Source organism: Homo sapiens, chromosome 8 (assembly GCF_000001405.40).
Source record: "Homo sapiens chromosome 8, GRCh38.p14 Primary Assembly".
NCBI lineage: Eukaryota > Metazoa > Chordata > Mammalia > Primates > Hominidae > Homo > Homo sapiens.
In genome coordinates, this window is record NC_000008.11 from 81603884 (window position 1) to 81631365 (window position 27482).

The following is a 27482-nucleotide window of genomic DNA, read 5'->3' on the forward strand; positions in this document are numbered from 1 at the left end:
TGGGATTTTTTTTTAAAACAAAACAAGCAAGGGGGAAGGACTGAAGAGAGGTTAAGTTCAAAGCAGAAACAATTTGGCTTCTGTAAATTATTAGGATATCGTTGGTGATATCAAAATGTGCAGAACCATTGGAAGTTAGAGCTTCAGCCAGATTGCAATCATCCACATTATTGCGTGTAACTGGAGTCTATTTTTTCATTGCTACAGAACATTCTTCATGTGATTAGACCACATTTTTTAAAAAAAATCCATTCTGTTGGCCAAGGATGATTAAGATATTTATTGGTGGCTGGGCGTGGTGGCTCATGCATGTAATCCCAGCACCTTGGGAGGCCGAGGCAGGTGGATCACGAGGTCAGGAGTTTGAGATCAGCCTGGCCAACATAGTGAAACCCCACCTCTACTAAAAATACAAAAATTAGCTGGGCATGGTGGCGCACACCTGTAGTCCCAGTTACTCAGGAGGCTGAGGCAGGAGAATCACTTGAACCCAGGAGGCAGAGGTTGTGGTGAGCTGAAATTGCGCCACTGCACTCCAGCCTGGGCAACAGAGTGAGACCCTGTCTCAAAAAAAAAAAAAAAAGAAAAAAGATATTTATTGGTATTTACTGGCCAGGTTGGTGTGAGACAGAGGAAATTGCAAGTCATACTTGTCTGAAAAATGTCATCTATTCTCTTACTTAAAGGCTGAATGGAATCCAGTTACAATGAAATTATATAAGGATTTGGGAGGAAACCAAATAGTTGAATATTAATAATAATGCATAATTTGCCAACATAAATCAGCATCAACATCTTTGAAATGTGACTATTGAAATGAGTAAAATGTTACACTGTATCTAAATATATCAGATATCTGATGAGAGTGCTTTTTGGGAACAGTTTCTTCTCTCTTAGGGAGTTTAAAGCAAATTAAAATACATACCTTAACTAAGTGCTTTGGAAAATATATTTATCGCAGAAATGCCTACAATAAGCAACTCTATCTGGCAGTATGTTAATGTGAAATATACAAAATATAACTAGACTGTTTTTACTTCAAAATTCACATCATCATGAAAAATACAGCAAAAGTACAGAATGGTGAGCTCATTATGTATCTACTCTATATAATAACTAGGAATTGATGACTTCAAAATATTCATTCTTACAATGTTTAATTTTGATTGCTAACTGACAAGCACGGTGCTAGGTGTTATATGAGCACTGAATAAAACAAAAAAGTTTCTCTGCAAAGAAAAAAACCTTGGTCTAGGAAGTACTCAATATATCCTTACAAATTTAAATATGGCTTTTGAAACCAAACAATTTTTTTTTCCAAATAGGTAACTTTCTAAGCGAGTGTCTAGGCATACATATATATAGCAAGTCAAAATTTCAGACCATTGATACTCAGAAATGCAAAATTGCTAACTATTTCAGTTGATGTTATACTTATTTCATCAACTATACTTTTTGTGTATTTTTCCTAAAGCTCTTACATGCAATTTTTTTAAACAATGAAGTAAACATCATGTCTATTCTTGCAAACCTAGCCATAGTAAAATATGAAACAAGTTCAAAATTCTTAATCTGGACAAAGACAATTTAAACTAAGCATATAATACATCTGAAACACGTATCCACAGTGAGTCAGCAAATCTGGGGAAAAGCAACTGTGATTGACTATGAGGCTGCTGTAATTAATCTTCATCATCTCATTGAAAAGGTGCTACCTGAATTTCTTTGGCTATCCTTTCTGCTAATGCTGTACAATTTGCAGCAATTATTCTCCGTGACATTAAATGGAATGGTCCACCTAAAACAAATCAAGTATGGTAAATAGTTATATCTGGTACAAAAATAATTTATATCAAACAAGTACAGCAATGTGCACTATGGTCAATCACGACATTTTAATACTTTCAGTTTTCTTTTAAAAATCTACTGTCACATAACTACAATGTTTAAGCTTTGGCAATCCATAGCTGAGTTTCTAAGTATATGTTTTTTAAAATACCAGTTTTTTGGTATTTACTGGCAAGGTTGGTGGGGGAGAGAGGGAGTCTCAAGTCATGCTAGTCTGAAAATGTCATCTATTCTCTATTTCTTTGTTTGTGTGTGTGTGTGTGTATATACACTGTTATTACCTCTTTACTGTTTAAGAATCTATGGACAGAAAATGTGACTCCAATTAATTTTCATACCACTATCCTTCCCATTTCCTTATTTCTTTGTTGCCTTTCTCTCAGATCACTGGTGAATTCTTTGAACCCAGGTTCACTCTTCACTTCAAAAATTTCACCATCAGCTCAAAGCAAATATTTAACTTCTCTAGTCCCAACACAGAAGGTGATGGTGGAGGACTGAAGTCAATCATCAACTATCACAATGGTCAGCATTCAAAGAACTCTAAATACAAGCCTCAGAGTCAGTGACTCTCTAGGCTTTCTCAACAGCCTTTCAGGAGTTCCTATTACTCACATTTGAAAAGGCTTAGCCATTTATCACTATCAGTCCCATATTGCCATTAGTTCTCATCCTTGCCTCTATCTCCTAATGTTTATTTTGATTTTGCACAAAATTATATAGCCTGTTTGTCTTAAAATCCAAGCTATCATATGTATCAAACTTTTTTTAAACTCCATATACAGAGGAAAGTCCAAGAGATGTAAAGGGAAAAATGATTCACTATCTCATAATTTTACCAGTAACATCCATTAGCACGCCACCAGCTTCAGTAACAATAATGGCAGCTACTGCAATATCCCAGCAGTGAATTCCCATTTCATAAAATGCCTCTGCTCCTCCACTTGCCGCAATGCACATATTAGTAGCTGCTGTTCCAACACTCTGGATCCTCAAAAATAGTATTCAAAAATGGCAGATTGAAAAAATAACCTTTCAAGTAAGGTATTCCTCCTAACTTCAGTTTGAATGTTGATTGAGATAAGTTGAACCAATCTAGAGAATAAATGTAAAAAAAGATGGTATTTAATCTTAAAATAAAAATATATAAAATCCAGTTATCGTGATATACTATATAAATCCCAAAACTAATCCTCACAAAGCAATAATTTAATAAGATAAACATGAAAGCAATAATTTTGCAGAAAAAAAGCCCTAAAAATAATGCTATAATTCTACTATAACAGCATGCAAATATATTCATATTTTTTTAAACCCAAGGCAACCACAGCTTATTTTACACAGATACACACACACATGCACACATACACAATGCACAATAATCTCTAGGGAGCATAAAGTATCATGATATTGATCATTCCCAACTGGATGTGCATCATATCTAGACCTAAAGGGATTGCAACCCACCTGGGTTCTGCACAAACCTAGGCCTCTCTTGAAAGATTACTACAGGTTTTTCCTCTCATAGCACCTCTTCCTTGAAAATACAGCAAGGTAAGATGAATGTGTAAGATATAAGTAAGAATAAGTAAGATACTACTTGATAGCAATTATAGTAATAACTTATTCAGTAAAGAATCATCAGCCGGGCGTGGTGGCTCACACCTGTAATCCCAGCACTTTGGGAGGCCAAGGTGGGCAGATCACAAGGTCAGGAGACCGAGACCATCCTGGCTAACACGGTGAAACCCCATCTCTACTAAAAATATATATTAAAAAGAATTAGCCAGGCGTTGTTGCGGGCACCTGTAGTCCCAGCTACTCAGGAGGCTGAGGCAGAAGAATGGCGTGAACCTGGGAGGCAGAGCTTGCAGTGAGCCAAGATCGAGCCACTACACTCCAGCCTGGGCAACAGAGCAAGACTCCATCTCAAAAAAAAAAATCATCAATAAATGTTAAAATTAATGGGTAAAAGTTTGATATTTTTGGTATCAAAGTATCTCTCCACAAGATATATAATAAGTACAGTGAGGAAAAAATAGCATTTTTACAATGATCTATCTACCATTACCAAGTAATCAAAGTTAATATCACCCATAATAGGACAAAAAGATACCATGTGCCTCCTGATATGATGCACTGAGAAGTACAGAACATTACTTCTGTGACATTCCTGCCAAAAATTCATAATCCAAATGTAATCATAAATAAACTAGACAAATTCAAATCAAGAGATAGACCACGAAATAATTGGCCTATACTTTTGAAAAATGTCAAGGTCATAAAAGATAAAGAAAGACCAAGCAAGTTATAAATTAAAGGAAACTGAAGAGAAATGAGAACTAAATGCAATCAATGTATGAGTCTGGATTGGACATTGGGTTAAAATTTTTTTCAAAATTTGAATAAAGTCTTTATATTAGATTATGTATCAATGTTAATTTCCTGACTTTTATAATTGTGCTGTGGCTGTGTTAGACAATGTTCCTTTTTATTAAAGAAATACACACTGAAATGTGTTTTTAGAAGAAAAAGATCATTATGTCTGCAAGTTAATTGCAAATGGTTTCTATTCAAACTCCTTTTGTGACTGTTTAAAGCTCTGGAAATAAAGCAGTGGGTTCTATTTACCAAGATCTTTCCCAGTTTATTTTTTTAAAAAGTAATGATAAATTGATTACAAATGTGGTATTTATTTTGTATTGTATTGTAAAAAATATTGCACCTAAGTACATCCTTCATCTCAAAGGGACTTTTTAAAAAAAGGATTAGAATGATATAATGTCTTTGATTTGGAATTTTTTCCTGCCTATGTTTTTGCTGCACATCTAATTTAAGAAAGAACTAGGAGGTGCAATAAATTTCCAAGATGTTTGTTTCCCAAATGCATGAAATCAAATTAGCTTTTGTGGCATTTTTTCAGTTATAAAGAAAGATGTGTTTCTCCCCTTTTCATATGAGATATGTGATAGCTGATATCTCATATTATAGAAAGCAAAGACCAAGATCTTCTACAAGTAATCCCTTAGTATTCTATTCAGAGAATCCTAGGCTAGCAGAACAACAGTGATAGCAACTAGTGGTGCTTCCATCACTTCTAATGCACATCATGGGATCTCAGGCAAGGAGTCTTGTAGTCAGCTAGAGCATATATTTTGTGAGCAAATATTACCAAAGAGATTACTTATATTACCAGGTAATTAAGGCTATGGTATAGATTCTACAATGTGCCTTCTGAATCCTATCTTAATCTGATCCTCCTATACAGCTAATAGGGTATATCATAAAAAAGCCTATGTTTGGGGTCACAAAGAGTTGAGTTTGTTCCATGCTCAGCTGCTTAAAAACCCTAATCTGGGCCAGGCATGGTGGCTTATGCCTGTAATCCCAGCACTTTGGGAGGCCAAGGAGAGTGGATCACCTGAGGTCAGGTGTTTGAGATCAGCCTGGCCAACATGGTGAAACCCTGTCTCTACTAAAAATACAAAATTAGCCTAGTGTGGTGGCACATGCCTGTAATCCCAGCTACTTGGGAGGCTGAGGCAGGAGAATTGCTTGAACCCAGGAGGTGGAGGTTGCAGTGAGCCGAGATCACACCACTGCACTCCAGCCTGAGCAACAAGAGTGAAACTCCATCACAAAAAACAAAAAAACAAATCTGGACCAAGTTTCTTCTTTGAGTTTTAGCTTTCTTGTCATCAAATAGGGATACCAATTTGCCTTAGATCACTGTTACAATAACTACAAATAATATTTGTAAAGCACCAAAAGAGTGCCTGCCATATAAAAGATACATAATAAAAAGTAGCTATGTTTATGACAAAATTATTCTCAAAAGATGATGCCAGAAAATATATACCAGGTACATTTCATCTAATTAAATTTTGAAAAATTAAAGGAAATTGAGCCACAATAATTGTTGTCTTAAAAATATTTGTTCCTAGTCAGGAACCTATTAGACTGTTTCTGCTTGTTTAAAGCATTCATTCAGATTATGACTCCCTTTAGTTTCATTGTTTTGTATAAGTAACTCTGAAATCACATTGCTAAACTAAAGAAGCAGCTGAATGCAAAAGATCTTAAATCAATGTCAGAACTTCTCCTTGGTAATATTTCCCTGGTTACACTTCTGAAAAAATCCTGAAGTAAAAATTAGTTTTTACTTTATCCAACAGCAAAATTAAAGGTTAAAATTGTAAACCTCTTGCAGCTCTTTTATGACTAACATAACCATTTTATAGCCCATGGTTACAGTCCTTGCTTCAAGACAGCACACTGTAGCAATAAGTTTATTGCCCTTCCCTCAAGGACATCATTCTGGGAGGTTCTGTAGCTATTTGACAGAGGCTCTCTCTCTTTTGCTTTACTCATTACTATATAGAACAAAGATGTATAGTATAAAATTAGTTTGTACATGGCCAAACTATATTTTTAAGGTCCCGACTCCTAAGAGAAGTCCAATATTGGAGAAAGATAAATGATCTGGGAGCCAGGATTCTAGTCATATTTCCACCCAGCTGTTCGATCTAAGGCAACCACATCACCTCTCTGAGCCTCAGTCGACTCACCTACAAAAAAAGGCTGGATTATTAGATGATCTTTGATCAGGTTTAAGACTCTTATAACTCAGTGATGATATTTTCAAAAGGAAAAAAGGTAGAAACAGTAGGCAGTAAAATATCTGTTATTCAAAACTTAACAGATTTTGTTGAATAACAAAATTTATGATTTTTAATGCAAACAACTACAATAAAGGTCAGAAATTCTATTTAATATAGCATAACTATATTAAAGACTTCAAAACTCTAGCTTTTCTTGAAAATGTAAACATAAAAGTAAGGATAGATATTTGCTTTTAATTTCTTCATTTATGAAACTGATTACAGAAGGACTCTGAGGTTTAGAAAGGAATAGTGGCATGCTGATTTTGAAACTCCCCATTACCCACCTGAAAAATAAAATTAAATAAAATCAAAAAGGAGGACAAATAAAACACACAAGACCTATTCCTTCAGCATTTCTAGGAATCGGAAAATACAAATCTCAAACTACCTGTAAGCAGAAGAAAGAGCAAACAAACTAATTCTAACACAGCATTCCTAGCCTGTGGATACACGGAGTGGAGGAGAAGAGGCAGAAAAGACTTTGTGAGGGAGAGCAGGGAGGAGCCAAGGACCCACAGGGAACACAGAAAAAACCACCCTCAGAAACGAGTATAAGTGAGACAATAAATGCAAAGACACTGAGCACAGATCAGCCCTTGGTAATTCACAGTCCAGCTACCTCGGGGAAACTGTGATTTTGGAGGAGAATCAGATAAGACAGAAGAGGTGGTACCTCTTGGAGACCAAGTATTCAAAGAAAAGTTGGGACTAAGATTGAAAAATTAAGGATCCTGCAGAAATCAATGATAAGCAAGACAAGCCAACCCTGCCTACCACAACCACTCAAAAGATATCATAAAGGAAACTACACAGAAGGGCAGAACTGACAAAATACAGAGCTCTGAACCAAGGAGCCCTGATAACAAAATGAATCAAAATAGAAAAAAGTAGAGCACATCCCCACAAGCCTGCAAAACATCAGACATTGCTAATAAAAATGGGTTTCTTTTTGTTTGAAGTCTCTCCAGAAAACCAACATTGTGAACAGTGAGAACACATGGACAAGGGAGGGGAATATCACACACTGGGGCCTGTCAGGGAGTGGGGGATAAGGGGAGGGAGAGCATTAGGACAAACACCTAATGCATGCGGGGCTTAAAACCTAGATGACAGGTGCAGGAAATCACCATGGCACATGTATACCTATGTTAACAAACCTGAACATTCAGCAAATGTATCCCGTAACTTAAATTTTTTTTAAATTGCTGCTGTAACACAACAAAAGAAAATAACAACATTCTGTCTTTTAAAATAAAAAACAATAATGAAGCAGAAGAAAACTGAAACATCAATACAATCTGAGTTAAATGGCCTCAAATACTTGTGGTTGTGAATATGAAAAAAAATTGTTAAATCTGAAATAGAGACTGAAAGCAGAAATGAAACAAAATTTTTTTAAAAAAAAACAGGATAAGTGAACTCAGGAAAGAAATGGGGACAAAATGAAGAATAAATTACAAGGTGCCCAAAAGGGCACAGATGCAAAAGAAAACTTAAAGAAAATCAGGAAAAGCAATAAAAGAAAAAGAGACTGAGAGAAAGCAGCTGAAATGGAAGACACAAGGAGATGGAATATTCATATTGGTGTCTCTGAAGAAGAAAATGATAACCGAAGTGCAATAATATTTAAAATTATATCTCAAGGAAATTTTCCATAAGTAAAGAAGATATGTATCTACATATTAAATAGAAAATTTATGCAGAATAAGCAATTCTAAGATATTCTTGTAAAACTGTTAGTTAAGACTTTAGGATAATGGTAATGAAATGTATGAATTTGTATGTGAGAAAGACATGAGTTCTGGGGGTCAGGGGTGAATGCTGTGGTTTGAGTGTTTGTCTCCTTCAAAGTTCATGTTGAAACTTAATCTCCAGTAGCAGTATTGAGAGGTGGGGCCTTTAAGAGAAGATTGGGTTGTATGGGCTCTGCCTTTGTGAATGGATTAATCCATTCATGGATTAGTAGTTTATTGAGTTCTCATGGGAATAAGACGTATTGAGTTATCATGGGAATATGGCTTTATAAGAACAGGAAGAGAGACCTGAGCGAGCACGCTCTGCTCCCTCACCATGTGATGCCCTGTGCTACCTCAGGACTCTACAAAGAATCCCCACCAGCAAGAAGGCACTCACCTAATGCAGCCCCTCGACCTTGGACTTCTCAGCCTCCATAACTGAAAGAAATAAATTCCTTTTCTTTATACGTTACTCAGTTTCAGGTATTCTGTTATAAGCAACAGAAAACAGGCTAAGACTATCTGTCCTTGTGAAAATTTAAGAATTAAACTCTTGGGTGAAAAAGGAACTACAAACAAATTACAGAACTTATGAAATATACTTATTATAATGAAAACAATAAATAGAATGTATGGAAGATACTGAAAGCAGTGATCAGATAAAAATTCATAGCCTAAAAACTTTTATCAATAAATATCAAAGAATTAAAATTTTCTACTCAAAAGGGAAAAAAGAAAACAAAGTGGACAAAAAGAAAGCACAAGGATGAAAATAATAGGGTGGAAAAGAGAAAAACAGTAAATAAATCAAAATTCTGGGTCTTTGATAAACCACTAGGTAACAAGACTAAAAACATGAACAAAGAAAAAAAGCACAAATACACAAAATAAGTGAGAAGGGGGAAATAATTATTGATATGGAGAAGCCAGAAATTGTTTATAAAATTCTACCTTGCAGACCTCTATGCAAATAATTTGAAAACTTAAAGGAAATGAGTAATTTCTTAGGCTATGGAAATGTTCCAGATCAAAGGAGGCTAAAGAGACATGACATCTAAATGTAATGCTCACCCTAAACTGAATCCTGTACCAGTGGAAGGCAAATGTTATAAAGGATATTATTAGATCTACTGACAAAACTGACAAGACTGAATATGGATGGTAGATTAGACAAAAAGTATATTTTTGAAGTCAATTGTACTGTGGTTACAGAAAAAAACACAGTATTATATACTCTAAAATAATGAGGGAGAAAAAAATGTGTGTGTACACACACACACACACACACACACACATACAGAGAGAGAGAGAAGATGAGAAAGAATAATTAAATGATAAAGCAAATGGAGTAAAATATTCACAACAGGCAAATCTATTAAAAAAGGCAATTGTTCTTTGCACTATTTTATTTCTACAACTTTTCGTTATGTTTGAAATTATTTTCAAAGAAAACATTTCAAAGCTACATTACAAAATTAGAATTATGGTACCAATCCCATTTCTATTAATATTTCATTTCTAAAGGAAAATATATTATTTTAAGATGTTAAATGATCTAGAACTTTAGGTGTAAAATGAAAAGAGCTCACCGTGAATAGGAATGCAAGAAAGCTTTTCCATATTGGAAAGAATAGTTCTTACAATTTCTGATGTTCTGCAATAGCCCAGCTCGGTCACCAAGAGTGATTTGGTAATATCTAAAAAGGAAATGTTTTAAATAATCACTAGATTTTAATAACTAGAATTCTAAAAAAAGACACTTTTATTCAGAAGAAAATATAACATGTTTATCCCTCTTCCTAGTTTTATCAAATTCATTTCTAAGTTTTAAAATATTAAAACTGATAAACTTATTATTTCCAAGTCAGCTTTTTATAAGCATCAAAAAGAGTCCAGCTCCTTAGACCATTCCCCAAATGTACAGAATATAACCAATTTGCCTGCAGGCATGATACGTGTAGTGAAAAATGAGCAAATATCTTAAACACAAAAAGGTAGATGTTAGAAACTAAATTCAATAGCGAACTTATATATAGATTTGAAAGAAAACAAAAATGAAAATTACATGGTAGCTCTTCTCTCACTTCCATTTACAAAGCTGGCAAATTATCCAAGGCTTTCCATTTTCCTCTGAAACATCCTGACTGCAGCTCAGGACACACTTGACACCCCACACTTCACCTCTTCCCATCAGACAAGATATATGTTCACCAGGTGTGTTTGTCAGCATTTTTGTAACTGTTGTACTGCTTTTTAAAATTAATTTTAAGTTCCAGAGTACATGTGCAGGATGTGAAGGTTTGTTACATAGGTAAATGTGTGCCATAGTGGTTTGCTGCACCTATCAACCTATCACCTAGGTATTAAGCCCAGCATGCATTAGCTACTTTTCCTGATGCTCTCCTGTCCCCCAACTCACCCCCGACCGACAGGTCCCTGTGTGTATTGTTCCCCTCCCTGTGTCTGTGTGTTCTCATTGTTCAGCTCCCATGTACAAGTGAGAACATGAAATGTTTGGTTTTCTGTTCCTGCGTTAGTTTGCTGAGGGTAATGGCTTCCAACTGCATCCATGTCCCTGCAAAGGACATGATCTCATTCCTTTTTATGGCTGCATAGTATTCCATAGTATATATGTACCATATTTTCTTTATCCATTCTATCTTTGATAGGCATTTGGGTTGATTCCATGTCTTTACTATTGTGAATAGTGTTGCAATGAACATATGTGTGCATGTATCTTTGTAACTGAATAATTTATATTCCTTTGGGTCTATACCCAGTAATGGGATTGCTAGGTCAAATAGTATTTCTGGTTCTAGATCTTTGAGGAATTGCCACACTGTCTTCTACAATGGTTGAACTAATTTACATTCCCACCAACAATGTAAAAGTGTTCCTATTTCTCCACAACCTTGCCAGCATCTGTTATTTGACTTTTCAGTAATTGCCATTCTGACTGGTGTGAGATGGTATCTCATTGTCGTTTTGATTTACATTTGTTTAATGATTAGTGATGTTGAGATTGCTTTCACGTTTTTTGGCCTCATGAATGTCTTCTCTTGAGAAGTGTCTGTTCATGTCCTTTGCCCACTTTTTCACGGGGTTGTGTTTTTCTTGTAAATTTGTTTAAGCTCCTTGTAGATGCTGAATATTAGAACTTTGTCAGATGGATAGATTGCAAAAAGTTTCTCCCACTCTGTAGGTTGCCTGTTCTCTTTGATGATAGTTTCTTTTGCTGTGCAGCAGCTCTTTAGCTTAATTAGATTCCATTTGTCAATTTTTGCTTTTGTTGCAATTGCTTTTGGCGATTTCGTCATGAAATCTTTGCCCGTGCCTATGTCCTGAATAGTATTGCCTAGACTTTCTTCTAGGTTTTTCATAGTTTTTGGTTTAACCCATCTGGAGTTAATTTTTGTATAAGGTGTAAGGGTCCAGTTTCAATTTTCTGCATATGGCTAGCCAGTTCTCCCAGCAGCTTTTATTAAATAGGGAATCCTTTCCCCATTGCTTGTTTTTGACAGATTTGTTGAAGATTGATGATTGTAGATGTGCAGTGTTATTTCTGAGTTCTCTATTCTGTTCCATTGGTCTATGTGTCTCTTTTTGTACCAGTACCATACTGTTTCAGTTATTGTGCCTTGTAGTTTGAAGTCTGGTAGCATGATGCCTCTAGCTTTGTTATTTTTGCTTAGGATTTTCTTGGCTATATGAGTTCTTTTTTGGTTCCATGTGAATTTTAAAATAGCTTCTTCTAAATCTGTGAAGAATGTTAATGGTAGTTTAATGGGAATAGCATTGAATCTATAAATTACTTTGATCAGTATGGCCATTTTAATGATATTGATTCTTCCTATCCATGAGTATGGAATGTTTTTCCATTTGTTTGTGTCCTCTCTGATTTCCTTGAGCAGTGGTTTGTAGTTCTCCTTGAGGAGGTCCTTCACTTCCCTTGACGGCTGTATTCCTAGGCATTTTATTCTTTTTGCTGTACTACTTTTAATAGTTAAATAATTTAATACTTTGTAAAGTGAAGAATAATTATGCAAAGGAAAAGAGTTGTTTCTATGAAAGCTACCACATTTCTTTGGTTCATACATATTTCTATTATCCTATGATTTACTTTACCTATTTTATATAGATTATCCTCTGATTTACCTTACCTATTTTATATATATTATATTTATATAATTATAATTTTTATATAAATATAATATATATTATATTTTAACTTTTCTATAAAATATATGTATTATATTTTGTTATAATAGGTAAGGTAAATCACAGGATAATTTTGGGATAATTTTGTTCTTTATTAAAATCAAAAAGCCTATATGATTAGGGATTAATGAAGTGGGGATGACAAATAAATGTACATTTCAGACTTTCATCACCAATGAAAAAATAAAGCATTTTTATACACTTAAAACTGTCATTTTAAGCAGTGTTAGATTTTGGATAAGGATTCAAAATGTAAAAAAATCTCTACAGTAATACAATGTTAATAGAAATTAGTCATGCACTGAGTTCATTTTGGTGAGCTACCATTGTTTAAATTTCAGAAAAGTAGAGCCGGGCACGGTGGCTCATGCCTGTGAACCCAACATTTTGGGAGGCCAAGGAGGGTGGATCACAAGGTCAGGGGATTGAGACCATCCTGGCTAACATGGTGAAACCCCATCTCTACTAAAAATACAAAAAATTAGCCGGCGTGCCTGTAGTCCCAGCTACTCAGGAGGCTGAGCAGGAGAATCGCTTGAACTTGGGAGGCAGAAGTTGCCATGAGCCCAGATCATTCCACTGCACTCCAGCCTGGGTGACAGAGTGAGACTCCGTCTCCAAAAAAAAAAAAACAAAAAAACCAGAAAAGTGATTTCTTAGTTCAAATTAGTGAAACCTTTAAAAGGATTGTCTTTAAAGATCATTATTTGAGAACAGTGCTTTTTCAGACATATTCTGATATTCACATTCACTTTATAACAGAATTACAGATTAACCTTTTAATTATATCTTTCTTAAAAAGCTGTCAGAATTCCATTTCTTCAGGAGATATTTTCACCAGTGTGTAGTTTGATTCCACAGATTAAGCTTTTGCTTTCTTCATTATTATTAAGAACTTCTTACATATTAGAGAGATTGCCATTCATTGCTTTTTTGTCTTTTCGAAGAGACACAGGCAGACTTGCTAGACTAAAGCTGACACTCTTAAAAGCATGCAACAAGAATATCCCCACGATTATTGTAAAGCCAGTCAAAAGTACCAGTGACATCATCAATGGGCATATCTTGCCACTCCTTAAAAATAATAGCTGAACAAGTTTAAAAACTGATGTCGTAAAGAATATGTAATGTATTGGAGTCATGATGGAAGTGTTAAATATATCCAGGGCGCAATTTAGGTAATTAATCTATGTGTTCACACAGACAATGAGGCTTAGCAGCAGAACACAGGCCAGGGGATGTGGCAGTGCAGGCTTTCCAGCAAACAGCTCTCTGATAGCACTGCCTAGGCTCTTAACCCAGGAGACTGAAAATGTGCCAATTTGTTACATACACAAATGTGCAAATTGCTACATACACAAGATCGTTGTCCCTGGTGGGGACCCACCAGGAAGATTAATATCATGGCCATAATGACCACAAGTGTTGCAAAGTCCACAAAACCTGGATCACCTAGCTTGTGAGATATTTTATTTAGTCTCAATATCCTCTTCTTTTGGAGGATGAGTGATCGTAACTGTAGATCCTCAAATACTTAGCAAACATCCAAATTTCCCGTAAGGATTAAATCTTTCATTTAGAAAGTATGAAGAAAGAATAGCACTTACTAGGACGCTGAGAGTTCCTAGTGGAGTCACCAGTGTGGCCGGTGCAAACCCATATGCAGCTGAGTTGGCCACCTCGCCAGCTGCCATTGACAGCAGTCTAGCCCACCACAACCATTCTTTAGGATATGCGTGGCCACCTTGACCTGCTCTCAGAGGACCTTTTCTGGCAAGTCGCAGAAAGCCTTTTTTTTTCCCCTCCCCAAATGAAACTACCTCCAGTGAAAATGCTGGAGCTCATAGCTAATCCCAGACCAATATAAAAGTCATATTTTCCACACCCTCGGCTCATTTAACAAAATGTTCCTGTGAATCACATTGATCACAGAACAGAGAAACTGCCAGTACTGGAGGCAGAATGATGCAATTTTCAAATAGTTTGAAAATAGGACATCAGTGTGAATGTCCTTCAAGGAATGAGTTGCTTTGTTATCTCAGACCTGGTCTCCCTCCGCTCTCAGTCTCTGTAACTGAAGGGCAATCACAGCTAGGAGAGTGCGTAAGTTTTATTTGGTCTCTTATGAAAAAAAAAAAAAAAAAGGCTGGAGGAGGTTAGATATGATTTACTCTCTCTCATTTTCTCGTAAATACTACCCTTTATTCTCATTTCAAGTTTTTAAACCCTAGCAGAGTAGCTCCAGCCTGAAAGGAAGGAGTGGCGACCTCACCCCAGTCTGCAGGCCAGCCTCCCAGCTTCACTTCTGCGATCTGGCCCTGGGTACCGTGGCTCACACCCGCACACCCGCACAGAGACCGCCCCGTCTTACGCAGGCCATCCCGGTAGGAGGTGCGAGCATTCCTGGCGGCATCCTTGTGCAGCTTTCTCCCTTCAGAAGCGCCAAGAAGCCCCGCTTCCTTCAGTTCTAAGATGCACGTTTTTTCACGTTAACATCTCGAAAACTAGGACGCCTCAACCAATCTTTGGGGCCTTAGAATTCAATAAAAAGAAAATGACCTAAAAATCTGCTCTCAAATTAAGTGATTGAGGAGAAAAATTAAATAAAAGTCTAGGAAGATTCTGAACTCAAATTGCTTTGCAAGCATCTTTAAATTCTTGCTGCATTTAAAAGAATCTCAAAGTGCAAACTGGAAAATGTTGGATGTAGTTTGTGGAAGAAACGTAGCTCAAAACTTCAATCGGCTGTGAGAAAGAAGGAAAAAAAAAGACTTTTTTTCTGTGGAATGTCAGCCCCTTTAAATTATCAGGCCCAGAGAGGCATTTAAAGTATACTAGCAGTCAGTCTCACTCCCCCTTGAGCTAAATAATTGTTTCTTGAAGCCACTTGCTATGCAGGCTCTAGACTAACTGATGCCAAGTAGCCATAAAATGCCATATGCTCTATAGTTCAACAATGTATAGCCAATCACTAATTAATGTGATACTGGTAAACCAAAGAAAATTCCTGAAAAGCATTAGAAATGACCTCTTCTTCTGATTTATCCTTTTTTCTTTAAAAACTTGAGCCTCTCCTTAGTTCTCTGGAGCACTCTCTAAGACAACCTAGAAGTGCGTCCTGGGCTGCAGACCTCAACCTTGGCCCAAATAAACTCTCTATATTAATTTTGCCTGAGCTTTCTTCTTTTAGGTCGACAGCTGTCACAGAGGAAGAAGACTTTAAATGCCAATCATCCAGTTCATGTAAAATGTATGTGTATCATTATAAGTGATTCCATCTTTAATTGACTTTTTTCCCCAAATTACTTTCCAGTAATTTGTCACAATGGCATCAGATCAGAGGAATTCTATAAGGAATTTTAGCTACAATGGCTAATACATAAACCATGAACTCAAACGAGGGTAGGAAGCCAGTCTTAATCATCTTCCTATCTCCATCGCCAAATCCAATGCTGAGCCTGAAGTGTTTGCTCAATTACATTTGCTTTCCCTATTTCCACTCCACATTCAAAACTGAAGTTGAAATAACAGAACAAAGAGAAAATAAACAGTTTATGAATCACTTAACAACTGGGGAATTCCATAGGTAAATATTAAAAGAACAATAAAATATGAGTACACAATATCAATTGCACTAAAAATTGGAGAATAAACCTACCTTCTTGTGAAACCTGTAGTTTTTGACCATTATAAAAGGCACCTTTTCCTTTCCTGACAGTGTACCTCTTGTCTTCCACACAACTGTACACAACTCCAAATTCTATCTGCAGAAGAAAAACAAGTTTCCTTTACCAAACCTGAGTATTTTTCAACATTAAATCAATGAATTGTTCTAAGATCATGACAAGAAAATATCATATACTACTAATAATAGATTGAAATGGCTATACTGTAGGATGCTTTCCAGCCTAATCAGAGAAAGAGTTCAACAGATCTGGAATCCTCCACTCTCACCTCATCTATGTCCAGAGTTAATAGTATTCACCTTACCTCTCTCCCTCCTGCTCCAGAAGAAGACAGAGTTTTTCCATTTTCTAAGGTGAACACACCTCCTGTGTTAGGATTTCTACCCTCTCTTATATTCTCTGAAAAACTGCTCCATCAACTGCTACCTCTTCTCTTGGATTTTTCTTCTCATACCTTCTCACCAAGTTTCTCCCTCCCTTACAAAACCTTCAAAATGTTATTCCCTCCTTTTCCCTTTACTGCCAATGAGTAGTCTACAATTGCATCTCCTGTGCTCCTCTTAATACATTACAATTTGGCTTCTGCCCTGATCACTTATTCTTCTGAAAGCCCCTCAGAGAATATCAGTGAACTTTCCTGACCAAATGTATTGTCTGAAGAATTGGAGACTGCTGGCCATCATCAACCCTTATTTAATACTTAATTCTGTACCTCCATGTTTCCAGAATTACTCTTTCAGTTCTACCTCACTCACCAATCCATTTCAGAGTCACTATTTTAGAAACTCCTTCTCTGCCTCAGCCTTAAAAGTTAGGTACTTCAGGCTTTTCTTCCTTCTTCCATTACTTCCATTTCCCTTGTAGCTCTCCATATTCATACGGGTTGGCCTTTCCAGTCCACAAATTCAACTTATGAATAATTTGGCTCCCATCAACCCCGTAATCATAGATAAAAACATATACTTTGGAACCTAGTCTTGCAGAATCTCTATCAAGGAGGTCAAAATCACTCATTGCCTAATTACCTCCCATTGCTTCCCCATAAATCTCATCATTCAAATTTAATCTTAAAAACACTTCCCAATTCTGGCATTTCCTTGGCTATTCTCACTGCCTCTACTTAGTTCAGAATTACCCAAACCCCAGTATAATCTGTACATTGTTAGAATTATCTGTCACTTTCCACTCCAAAACCTCTTCTGTTTCCCAACTACCTAGAAACAAAAACTAAATTTTCTCACATAGATTGGCCACTGTGCCTTACAGTAAGGCCAAACTAACCTCTGCCCCGGCCACTTCCAGTGCTTCCCTCTCCATGACCATCTCACTGTTCCATGCACACATCATGGTCTTCGACTTCTCCAAGCTCTTCTTTGGATTAAAACGCTTTTCTTTTTTCTTTTCCTTTTTTCCCCCCATCTGGCAAAGCCCTAGTTTTCTAAGGATCAACTCACATGACCAACTTCTAAGACCCCCTTCTGTTATAAAGATTTTCCCAACCCACTTTTGGCAGATTGGTGACATCCTGTGTTCCCACAGTATTTTTTTGTAATAGTTCCACCACATATCATCTTTACCTGTTCACACATCCAACTCTGTGCTGAGCTGTGAGTTCAATGGCAGGACCAGCACACAGCACAGGGCTGATTATAGACTGAATGCTCACTTAGCTCCTTTTGGACGTTCTCATGATTAATACAACCCTAGGGCTAAGCCTCCATTTGTATTAATTTGTGTTTTATTTTCAGAAATTTCTTTAGTGTTTTTGTGTACAGGTTGATCGAACATATCAAAAATTCCCCGAAGACAGGGATGTAAGATAGTAGCAAACATCTTCACTGTTTAACCAAACAAACAGCCAAACAGCAAGGAAATGCAATAGCTATGGATTTTACTCTGCTGGGCTTTCTACACAAGTATTCAATAATGTGTCGATCCCACAATACACTTGCTATTTTCAAACCATGCATTGGCCCTTGCTAATTCTTGGTCTTTAAAGGGCTCTTTTCGCTGATACCTATTGAAGCATTCCCAGCTTAAATCCCACGTTTTCCATGAAGCATTTTAGATCACACATAAACTCCTATCCCATTTCACTCTCTGACACATACAATGGTGGCTAAATACTGAACTTTCAGTTACTTGTGTGCATTTTCTCCTTACAACCCCTGCTTCTCAGAAAGCATTACATTTTCTTCACTGGAAATGTGTCATGAACATTTTAACAGTCCTGTAGCTTATATTCAAAATAATGCAGTTATATGAATTGAAAATAAAGACATCTAAATTTATTATGAAGATACATTTACTCTTTCCCAGAAAACGAAAGCAAGGCATTTAATCAACTATACATTTAAAACAACATACCTTCTTATTTACAACAAGGCCAATCGAAACAGCTACAAAAGGAAATCTTAAAAAAAGACAAAACACAAGTTTACCAAGATAGAACTTATTGTTAATATAGTTACTAAAATTCATCTTTTTGTAATATAAGTTCTCATAAAATTTTTCCTATAAACAGTCTTATCCCTCCTCCCCGCAATATCTAAGATGCAGAACAGTGTGTATTGTATACAACTCCTTGTGTAAATAGGGAAGGGGACATATTATACACACATACATGCATTCACACAAGATGCTCCTACAGGCATGAAACCTCTCGGAAAGGATTCATAAGAAATGGATAACAATGGTCACCTGAGAGATGGGTCCTGAGAAACTGGGGACAGAAGTGGCAAGGGTACCTTCTACTGTATGCCATTTCCTATCTTTTGAATATCAAATGCCATAATCTAATGACTGTGAAAATATCTTTTCAAAAAATAAAAGTAAATTTTAAGAAAATTAAAGTGAATTCTTAAAAAGAAGAGTCTATTTTCATCATTTTTCCTGCAGCCTGGAGCCTTGGTAGACACAGGTACTGCGTTGTTCAGGATTGCTGTTACTTGTCTCTATTCCAACACCAAACATGTAACTTCACATCTGAATAGTAGACAGTTCACCATTATTTTTATGGTTGCATGACAGTTTAAACACATAGGTTGAAATTTCTGACCCACAAGAGAGTCAAGATCAAGGCAAAATAGGGTCAACATAACTACTACAAATAAAAACCTCTAAATATGAGTTTTTATTTTAACAAAAATAGGATCAAACTATACACACTGTATCATATAATCTTCTCCTTTTACATTAGATCATAAGCATCTTTCCACATTTAAAAGATACAACACTATCATGTATATAAAGTCTACAAAACTTTATAGATTTTAACTATTCTGTACATAGTACAGATGTGTACAACTACATGGCAACTTCAAAAGTAACACTGATGGGCCGGGTGTGGTGGCCCAAGCCTGTAATCCTAGCATTTTCGGAGGCCAAGGTGGGAGGACCGCTTGAGGCCAGGCATTTGAGACCAGCCTGGGCAACATAGTGAGACCCTATCTCTACAAAAATAAATAAACTAGCTTGGTGTGGTGGCTTGCACCCATAGTCCCAGCTGCTTGGGAGGCTGAGGTGGGAGCATACTTTGAGCCCAGGAGTTCAAGGCTGCAGTGAGCCATGATCTTGCCACTGTACTCCAGCCTGGGTGACAGAGTGTGACCTTGTCTTAAAAAAAAAATAAGTAACATCTATGTGGAATCCCACCACAGTTGGCTACTCATTTTAACTCACATGCACAATTCCATCAGGCTTTCTTCTAGTGATATCATATACTTAAACTCTGTGCCAGGCACTATACTAAGTTCTTACATAAATGTACCACTCATAGAGTCCCATCAATAAACAATTCTATTAGACAGGTGACATTAATATGGTCTTTTTTAAAACTGAGGCTTAAAAAGATTAACTTGCCCAAAGTCACAAAGTCAATTTAAAAACACCAGAATTCAAGCCTAAGCCTGTTGAACCTAACACTCCTCCAATTTTTAACCCTGTTTTCTCTTCTGGACTGAACTCATTCTGTATTGACAGCATTCCAATAGTGACCTCATTAGTTTCTTTCTCGATCTCAAAGAAGCAAGGTTGTTTGCTTCCATTTTTATGTGGCTCCAAGAGTAAGAAAAGAATGGTGAACAGGGCATGCTACTCCACATAAAAAGATCACACCATTAATATTTCTTTACCTCCATATCCGATGAGAAGTCTGCATAGTACAATTTGCTCTGTTCACTTTAGATACACTTTCTTAGAATAAAGATGCATAAACAAAGTGCACAATTCTCTAAAATGTGTATGTTCCCGCACAGAGCACTCTAAAGGGCTATCCAGGTAATATACGAAGAGCAATTGTACTAAAATGTTTAAAACATACCTATGGACAAACTTAGTTGTTCCATCAATAGGGTCAATGATCCACGTAGGGTTGTCAGTTAAGACACCTTTTTCCCCAGCTGCCAGATTCCTCACCAGTGAAACTAAAAGCAAGAAGGACACACTCCTATTAACAATTTCCAAACCATGACATTTCCTTAGCTACACAGTCTTGTATAAAATATAAAAGTCTGCACCCTACTTTTCTATTGTTGCTTCTTTGTCCCTAGAAAGACTGATAACAGTGAGAGGGAAGATTTATTTTATTTCACTGAAAGTAAAGTCATGTGAAAAATTACAGAATTCAAAATTTTAAAATGTGGCTGGGCATGGTGGCTCATGCCTGTAATCCCAGCACTTCAGGAGGCCAAAGCGGGTGGATCCCCTGAGGTCGGGAGTTCAAGACCAGCCTGACCAATATGGTGAAACCCCTCTCTACTAAAAATACAAAAATTAGCTGGGCGTCGTAGCGTGCACCTGTAGTCCCAGCTACTCAGGAGGCTGAGACAGGAGAATTGCTTGAACCCGTGAGGTGGAGGTTGCAGTGAGCTGAGATCGCACCACTGCACTCTAGCCTGAGTGACAGAGCAAGACTCTGTCTCAAAAAAAAAAAAATTATAAAATGTAATACCAGAATAAGTAATGGCATATGCATGGCATGCGCGCACACACACACACACACACCAGACAAGAGCAGTTTTTGGAGATGAGAAATCATTAAGGAAATGCCATGATTTTAAAAATGGGTCCAGACACTCTCTAATACTCCCATCAAGAGGCAGAGCCTAATACCCCTTGCCTTGAGTGTAAGCTACACTTGGTAACTTGTTTCTAACTAAATCTTATGGAAATCCCATAAATGGTGCTAGACTTCACTGGTTTTCTTCTTTCCTGTTTTCTTTTCTATTTATTTTCTTTCATTTAAAACCGAACTGTCTTAATAACCACTATCATCATCTTTATTTATCTCTTTTTCTCTTAGCTATAAATATTTTTATTCGGAAGAAATACACTTAGCCACGGCTTTAAACATTTTTTCTTCTCAATGGCTAAAAACACCAGGAATGGCCAATGACATGACTAGGAAGAAGTCCAGAATCACAGTGCTAACAGTTTAGAATGATAATGTTTCTGTTAAATTTCTGTGCCTGTAAAAGAGCTCTAATTTCAGGATTTTCTCTCAGACTTTCTAGAGCTACTGCCACTCTACCATATAAAGAAGTTTACGATACACAGAATGAAATTGAACTTTTAAATCATGCCAACGGCAGACGTTTGTCACGTTAGCTTCCCAGCACCCAACCATTCCTTTTACTATGAAGGAATCCAAATATTCCTCTTTCCTACTCCCTGTCAGCTTGAGCATATGCAAAGCACCTAAACTCAGAAACTGCATATCCCTGTCCAGAATTTGTAATCTTAAACTAATGAGGTAAAGATAAAAGGTTAGTTAGAAAGTATTCAAACCATCAGAGTCAGGAGTGAGGCTACCAGTGGCCTCCTCAGCCATAGCTCCTGTGTTCCCTCAGATACTCCTCCTCCCTCCCATGGTTCTGGCCCAAGGAGCCCACACCCACAACATAAATCCCTTTTCAGCTTAAGCTAACTAAAGTCAATTTCTGTGTCTAAAATCAAAATGCTTGCCTGGTATAAGTAACTCCAACTTAGATTTCATTTTATCATTTGAAATGGAAATAAAAAAATACCTATGAGATGGATACTTTTCCTTTATGGAAGAGATAAGCATTTTTTCAACTTTTTGGTCAGTAGCAGTTACCAAATCAACTGGAGAACCTTTCAGGATAACATTCACTTCATTTTTAAGAGCATCATGAACCACCTAAAAAGGGTTTTTGGTAGGCAAATAGAAAAACATAAGTAATTTTCAATCAAACAAAAAGATAAAACACAAAAATGGTTTACAACATTCAATCTGACTTTAAATAACATTCCTTAAAGATATTCTTGGCTGGGCACGGTGGCTCACACCTGTAATCCCAGCACTTTGGGAGGCCGAGGCAGGCGGATCACCTGAGGTCGGGAGTTTAAGGCCAGCATGACCAACATGGAGAAACCCCATCTCTACTAAAAATACAAAACTAGCCAGGCATGGTGGCGCATGCCTGTAATCCCAGCTACTCAGGAGGCTGAGGCAGGAGAATCGCTTGAACCCGGCAGGCAGAGGTTGTGGTGAGCCGAGGTCATGCCATTGCACTCCAGCCTGGGCAACAAGAGCGAAACTCCGTCTAAAAAAAAAAAGATATTCTTAAGAATTTCTTATAAAAATGTTTATAACATAAGCCTTCAATAATTATGACCTTTTAGGTACAGAATTATATATTCTAACATCCTATTTTAGCTTCACAACTGTGATCACAAGACGTTTAATGATATAAAATTGAAGTGCTCACTATAAAGTGTTTAGTAAAAGGAAAACAAATGCAGACTGAACAAAATACATATTTTATTTAATAAGGCAACCACACACTTCACACCCATCACATTATGGCTGACAAAATTTTAATTCATACCTCTCCAGCTTGTCTTGCTAGGGTTACTGCATAATCCATGCATTCCTGCCAAGGATCAGCCATCTTCTGAAAATATTTAACACATGTCAGCACAAAGTGGTTAGAATTCTCTAAAAGTCTTAATTATAGAATAGTTTTTTCCACAAAAAAATCTTAATTAGCAACAGACTTTCATTTTGAATTTACCCCCTGCCCTATTCCAGAGTTCAATTTTTTTTTCCAAGATTTACTCCTAGACCAATTAAAGAACATTTTCTACCTGGATTACTTCACTACTAATACAGAAATATACAAAAAAAAAATTCTATTAAATTATCTCCAAATGTGTCCATACCAAAACACATTAAAAAACAAAACACACTCTCTGGTGCACGCCTCCAAGATGACAAAGAAAAGAGGGAACAACGGTTGTACCAAAAAAGGGCTGCAGCCACGTGCAGCCTATTCTCAGCACAAACTGTAACCAATGCATGCCCAAGGACAAGGCCATTAAGAAATTTGACATTCGGAACATAGTGGAGGCCACAGCAGTCAGGGACATTTCTGAAGCAAGCATCTTCGAAGCCTAGTTGCTTCCCGAACTGTATGTGAAGCTACATTACTGTGTGAGTTGTGCAATTCACAGCAAAGTAGTCAGGAACCGATCCTGTGAAGCCCGCAAGGATTGAACACCCCTACCCTGATTTAGACCTGCAGGTGCTGCCCCACGACCCCCACCAAAGCCCATGTAAGGAGCTGAGTCAAAGACTGAAGACGGACTATTCTATGGAGAAAAATAAAATAAAAATTGTGCTTAATATTGCATGTTGAGTGTATCTGTGCCAGATAGGGTGGGGATTTTGTGGGCGTTAGAGCAAGTGAGAAGTTACACATAGTATTTTCATCAGAAAGAAAGCTTATTCATGTAAATTAAACCTTAATTGTTTGTGGTCATATCCCTGGCCTCGCAATTTGCATAGCTGGGTGAAATAAAGGGAGTTTAGGAAAAAAAAAATCAATAACTGGTTTAGGAAATAGAGAAAAAGGACCCAAGAAAACATTTTAATAGATAGGTAAACGTTTGGGTGAGGGATAAAGTGAAGATAAAAGAAAGAACACTGGGAATACTGAAATAAAAGAAGTTTTGAAAGGAAGGAGCAAAAGGCACATGTACTAACTAAATGCCAGGCAGGCAGGTGCTCTACACAGGAGATGGATTTTTTAATAAGATTATAAAGATCAAGAACTTAAGGCTTAGAGATGAGAACTTCTGTACCCAAGATGATAGAAAGAAATAACACAGTAAGAATTTGAACTGATTTTAAATTCCATTGTTCTTTCTATTATGGCAATCTGAGAAAAGAAAATTCCAGGACCAAAAGAATAATAAAAAAAGAAAAAAAATGAGATGTATTACTCTGAGATTAGAGAGGAGAAAAAACAACAACATTTATTTGTGTTCTGAAGTGTCCAGCTTTCCACTGACTTCTGAAGACTAGAATAACTCATCAGTGGCTTGATCACACTCTAAAGACTGTACCTAGCACAATGAAGCTTTTTAAGCTGTCAGATTCCAAAAATGTGGCCTCAGTATAAAGCAACCCTAGTTTTGTCTTCTTTACAATGGAGAATAGCTAACATAGAGTTGCATCTTGAAGATACTCAGAAATCCCTATGTTGGGGCTTACATTATAGGAAAAGAGACAGAAGAGGAAAGGAGGGCAAAGGACTAATACAGTGAGTTTCTGCCTGTTGCTTTTTCTTCCTGATAAAGGCATTAAAAAAATTTTTTTAAGGAGGCCAGTCTCTGAGTCATATAAGTAACTCCTTAGAGATCTTCAAGAATTGTTACCAAGCTTTTTTTTCATTCTGACACTCATTCTGCTCCACTAGTCTTAACAGAACTAGACATTTTCAAGCTGCACCTGCTTTCCTGCCAGAAATGGCTCAAGCCACTCACAGCACTAATGTCACTTCGACCAATTCTTCAGGGCCTATTTCAAAAGCTACCCTCTCTTCTAGGGATTCTTCACCCAGAAGTCACTATGTGTTTCACCTTTAAATAGATGTTTGCTGAATACTTATTATACCCTATACACTGCACCATGGGGAGGAAAACCAGGTCCCATTCACACTTACTCTCTAGGAGGGGACTCAGATATTAATCAAAAATGCACAGACCACATGCAAAATCATAACTGTAATAATAAAGGCTAAGTAGGAGAAGTGCAGTGAGAAGCATCTAACAGGGGAGCTTTCACCTGGACTTTGGCATCAGATCAGGTTTCCCTGAAGACAAGATTAAGCCAAGATGAGAAGAACAAGTGAACAGGCATGAACTCACTCAACTGCAGGATGCCTGGTACATGAAGACTAACTGAAGGGCCTAAGTGTGACAGCTCAGACGTCAAGGGAATTAGGAGGGATAAAGCTGGGGAGGAAGTGGGGTCCCTTACAGGGTAGGTCCCTTACAGGTCCTTGTAGGACCTTACTGGACCTTACAGGTAATGAGGTCCCTTACAGGACTTCAGGGATAAGACTTTGATGGGAGACACTTGAGGAATCACTGCATTGTGGCTACTGAACAGACTGGCAGAAAGTGGGTGTGGGTAGACGGTTAGATGATTTACATTCAGGATGCAGTAGAGCGGAGGAGACCTGATGATTGGCTGAAACCTGGGGAGGGAAGTTTTCTGGTGGAGAAGCTAAGGGAGTCAAGAGATAATCTGTTTTGGGAAATAAAATTGGGGAGACTCAGTAACAGATTGGCTATGGAGTATGAGGGAGAGGAAGAGTTCAAGGATGACCAGATTTTCCAGTCTGGCAACCGAATCCATAACGGTCACATCTACTGAATGGGGAGTAACAAAAAAAAGAGTCAAGTTTGGGATGTGGGTAAGAGGTTGGAAAATTAAGAGTTCAATTAGCAGAGATATGAGGCCTCCCTGAAATCAAAAGAAGCTGTCAATTATTCAGCTGAATAGATAGATCCTGAGCTCAGAAGAGAGGTTTGGCCTGCAGATATAAACATGTAAGTTACTTGAGTAGATAGCAACTGAGGGCCTGAGTCTGGACTTCATCGGATAGGCATGATTGATAGATAATTGTGTAGGAATATCATCCCACAAAATCTGTATGATCTAATAGTAATAGACCAGGGAAACCCAGTGAGGTCTGTCTGTTCAGATTCTTCTTGGTTCCCCTTTGCAGCATTCCTTCCTCCTGGGTATGGAGCGGGGCCTCTTCCGAAATGGGAGTCTTATGAACTACAATCAGACAAAGATAGGCCAGAGAATTTATTTATAACCAGCTACAAGACACAAAGGTAGGGGAAGATCCTTACCTTGGGGAGAAAAAGCAGCAGATGAAAGGAGGACAGAAGGTCAAAGAGAGAAATTCCATTTTTCTGGGGGCTGCAGTGCCCCGACATTATAACAAAAGACTGTAACAAGGGCTTATGGGAGTTATGAGCCAGTAATGGTGGATGAAAACATATATATGTAATACATTTATTCTGATATACACATATGTATCATATCACAAGTACATTTCTTAATGGAAAGGGGCCGTATTTACTCACTTTCATTTTCCCAAATCCATAAACACCTGAACTGTTTCCTGCTGTTTCTGTCCTGGTCACACCCTTCCCAGCGTGGGAGCCAGGCCATCTTCCTCTCGGCTACCTGTCCCCAGCAGTGCGACTGGCGCTGCGCCATCTCTTACGGTGACTACCTGTAAGTGATCTCTCTGCCATCTGTCGGCCACCTGTCCCTAGCAGCGCGACTGGCGCTGCCAGTCATCCGGGCGCTGCCCCATCACTTACGGTGACTAACTGAGCCTGGGATGCGCCAAGTTTCTCTAAGCTTTTCGGAGTAGGGAAAATGAAAAGCGGCAATGATTCCACAGAAGCTGCCACAGGGGTTAAGTGCAGTGGCGTCCGCGAACCGCTACTCCAACATCGGGAGTGTTCCTGGTCACCCCAGGGCAGCTCCAGATAACGTGGCAGGCAAGAGTCACCCAGATGCGGCCTTCGCCCCAGGGGCTGACCGCACACCGCAGACCGCCCTCGCCCCCACCCCAGCAGAGAGAAGCGCCGAACCCGGAGAGGGTGGCGAGGGGGGCGGGGAAAACAGGAGCCTCACCTCGAGTCGGCGAGCGGGGCGGGGAAAACAGGGGCCTCACCTCGAGTTGTCCTGCTAGCTGGGTGCCTGGTGCTATCCAGCCTCAGTGCTTTGGGAGGCAGAGGGGCTGCCCGGGACCAAAAGGTCGCCGCTTCTTAAGCCCATCAATGAGGGGGCGTGGTTGCTTTGCTGGGCCCCGCCCCGAGCTGCGCCCTGAGAGGCTCTGCTAGGCCCGGCCCGGGTCTTCACCGGCGCAGGAGCCTCAGATCTGGCCTCTTCTTTCCCAGTTCTGGTTCTTCTAACTTCTTTTCTCCTGCTTGCCCCTTCTTCTCTAAATCTTTTTAAAATTCAATTCCTCTTTATTTTTCTCTTTTCTTCT

The 27482-nt window shown here is 37.9% G+C and overlaps 3 pseudogenes across 1 annotated transcript, besides 1 other annotated feature; 1 reads left to right on the plus strand and 2 right to left on the minus strand.

Moving 5' to 3' along the window:
* IMPA1P1 (inositol monophosphatase 1 pseudogene 1) lies at window positions 1-27394 on the minus strand (annotated as a pseudogene). Its single transcript, NR_146081.1, has 8 exons — window positions 27165-27394; window positions 23004-23069; window positions 22179-22312; window positions 20474-20576; window positions 18520-18565; window positions 16125-16230; window positions 9838-9945; window positions 1-2943 (listed from the first exon to the last, which is right to left on the minus strand). The product of NR_146081.1 is annotated as an inositol monophosphatase 1 pseudogene 1 (transcript).
* Window positions 13264-14362, minus strand: NIPA2P4 (NIPA2 pseudogene 4; annotated as a pseudogene).
* RPS26P34 (ribosomal protein S26 pseudogene 34) lies at window positions 23364-23916 on the plus strand (annotated as a pseudogene).
* Window positions 26871-27165: a silencer, noted in NCBI's record as "tiled region #11945; K562 Repressive DNase matched - State 4:PromP". NCBI's record gives its function as "represses a minimal TATA promoter and a strong SV40 promoter by Sharpr-MPRA in K562 cells {active_cell/tissue: K562}" and the evidence as "EXISTENCE:reporter gene assay evidence [ECO:0000049][PMID:27701403]".
* Window positions 27395-27482: the final 88 nt, after the last annotated feature.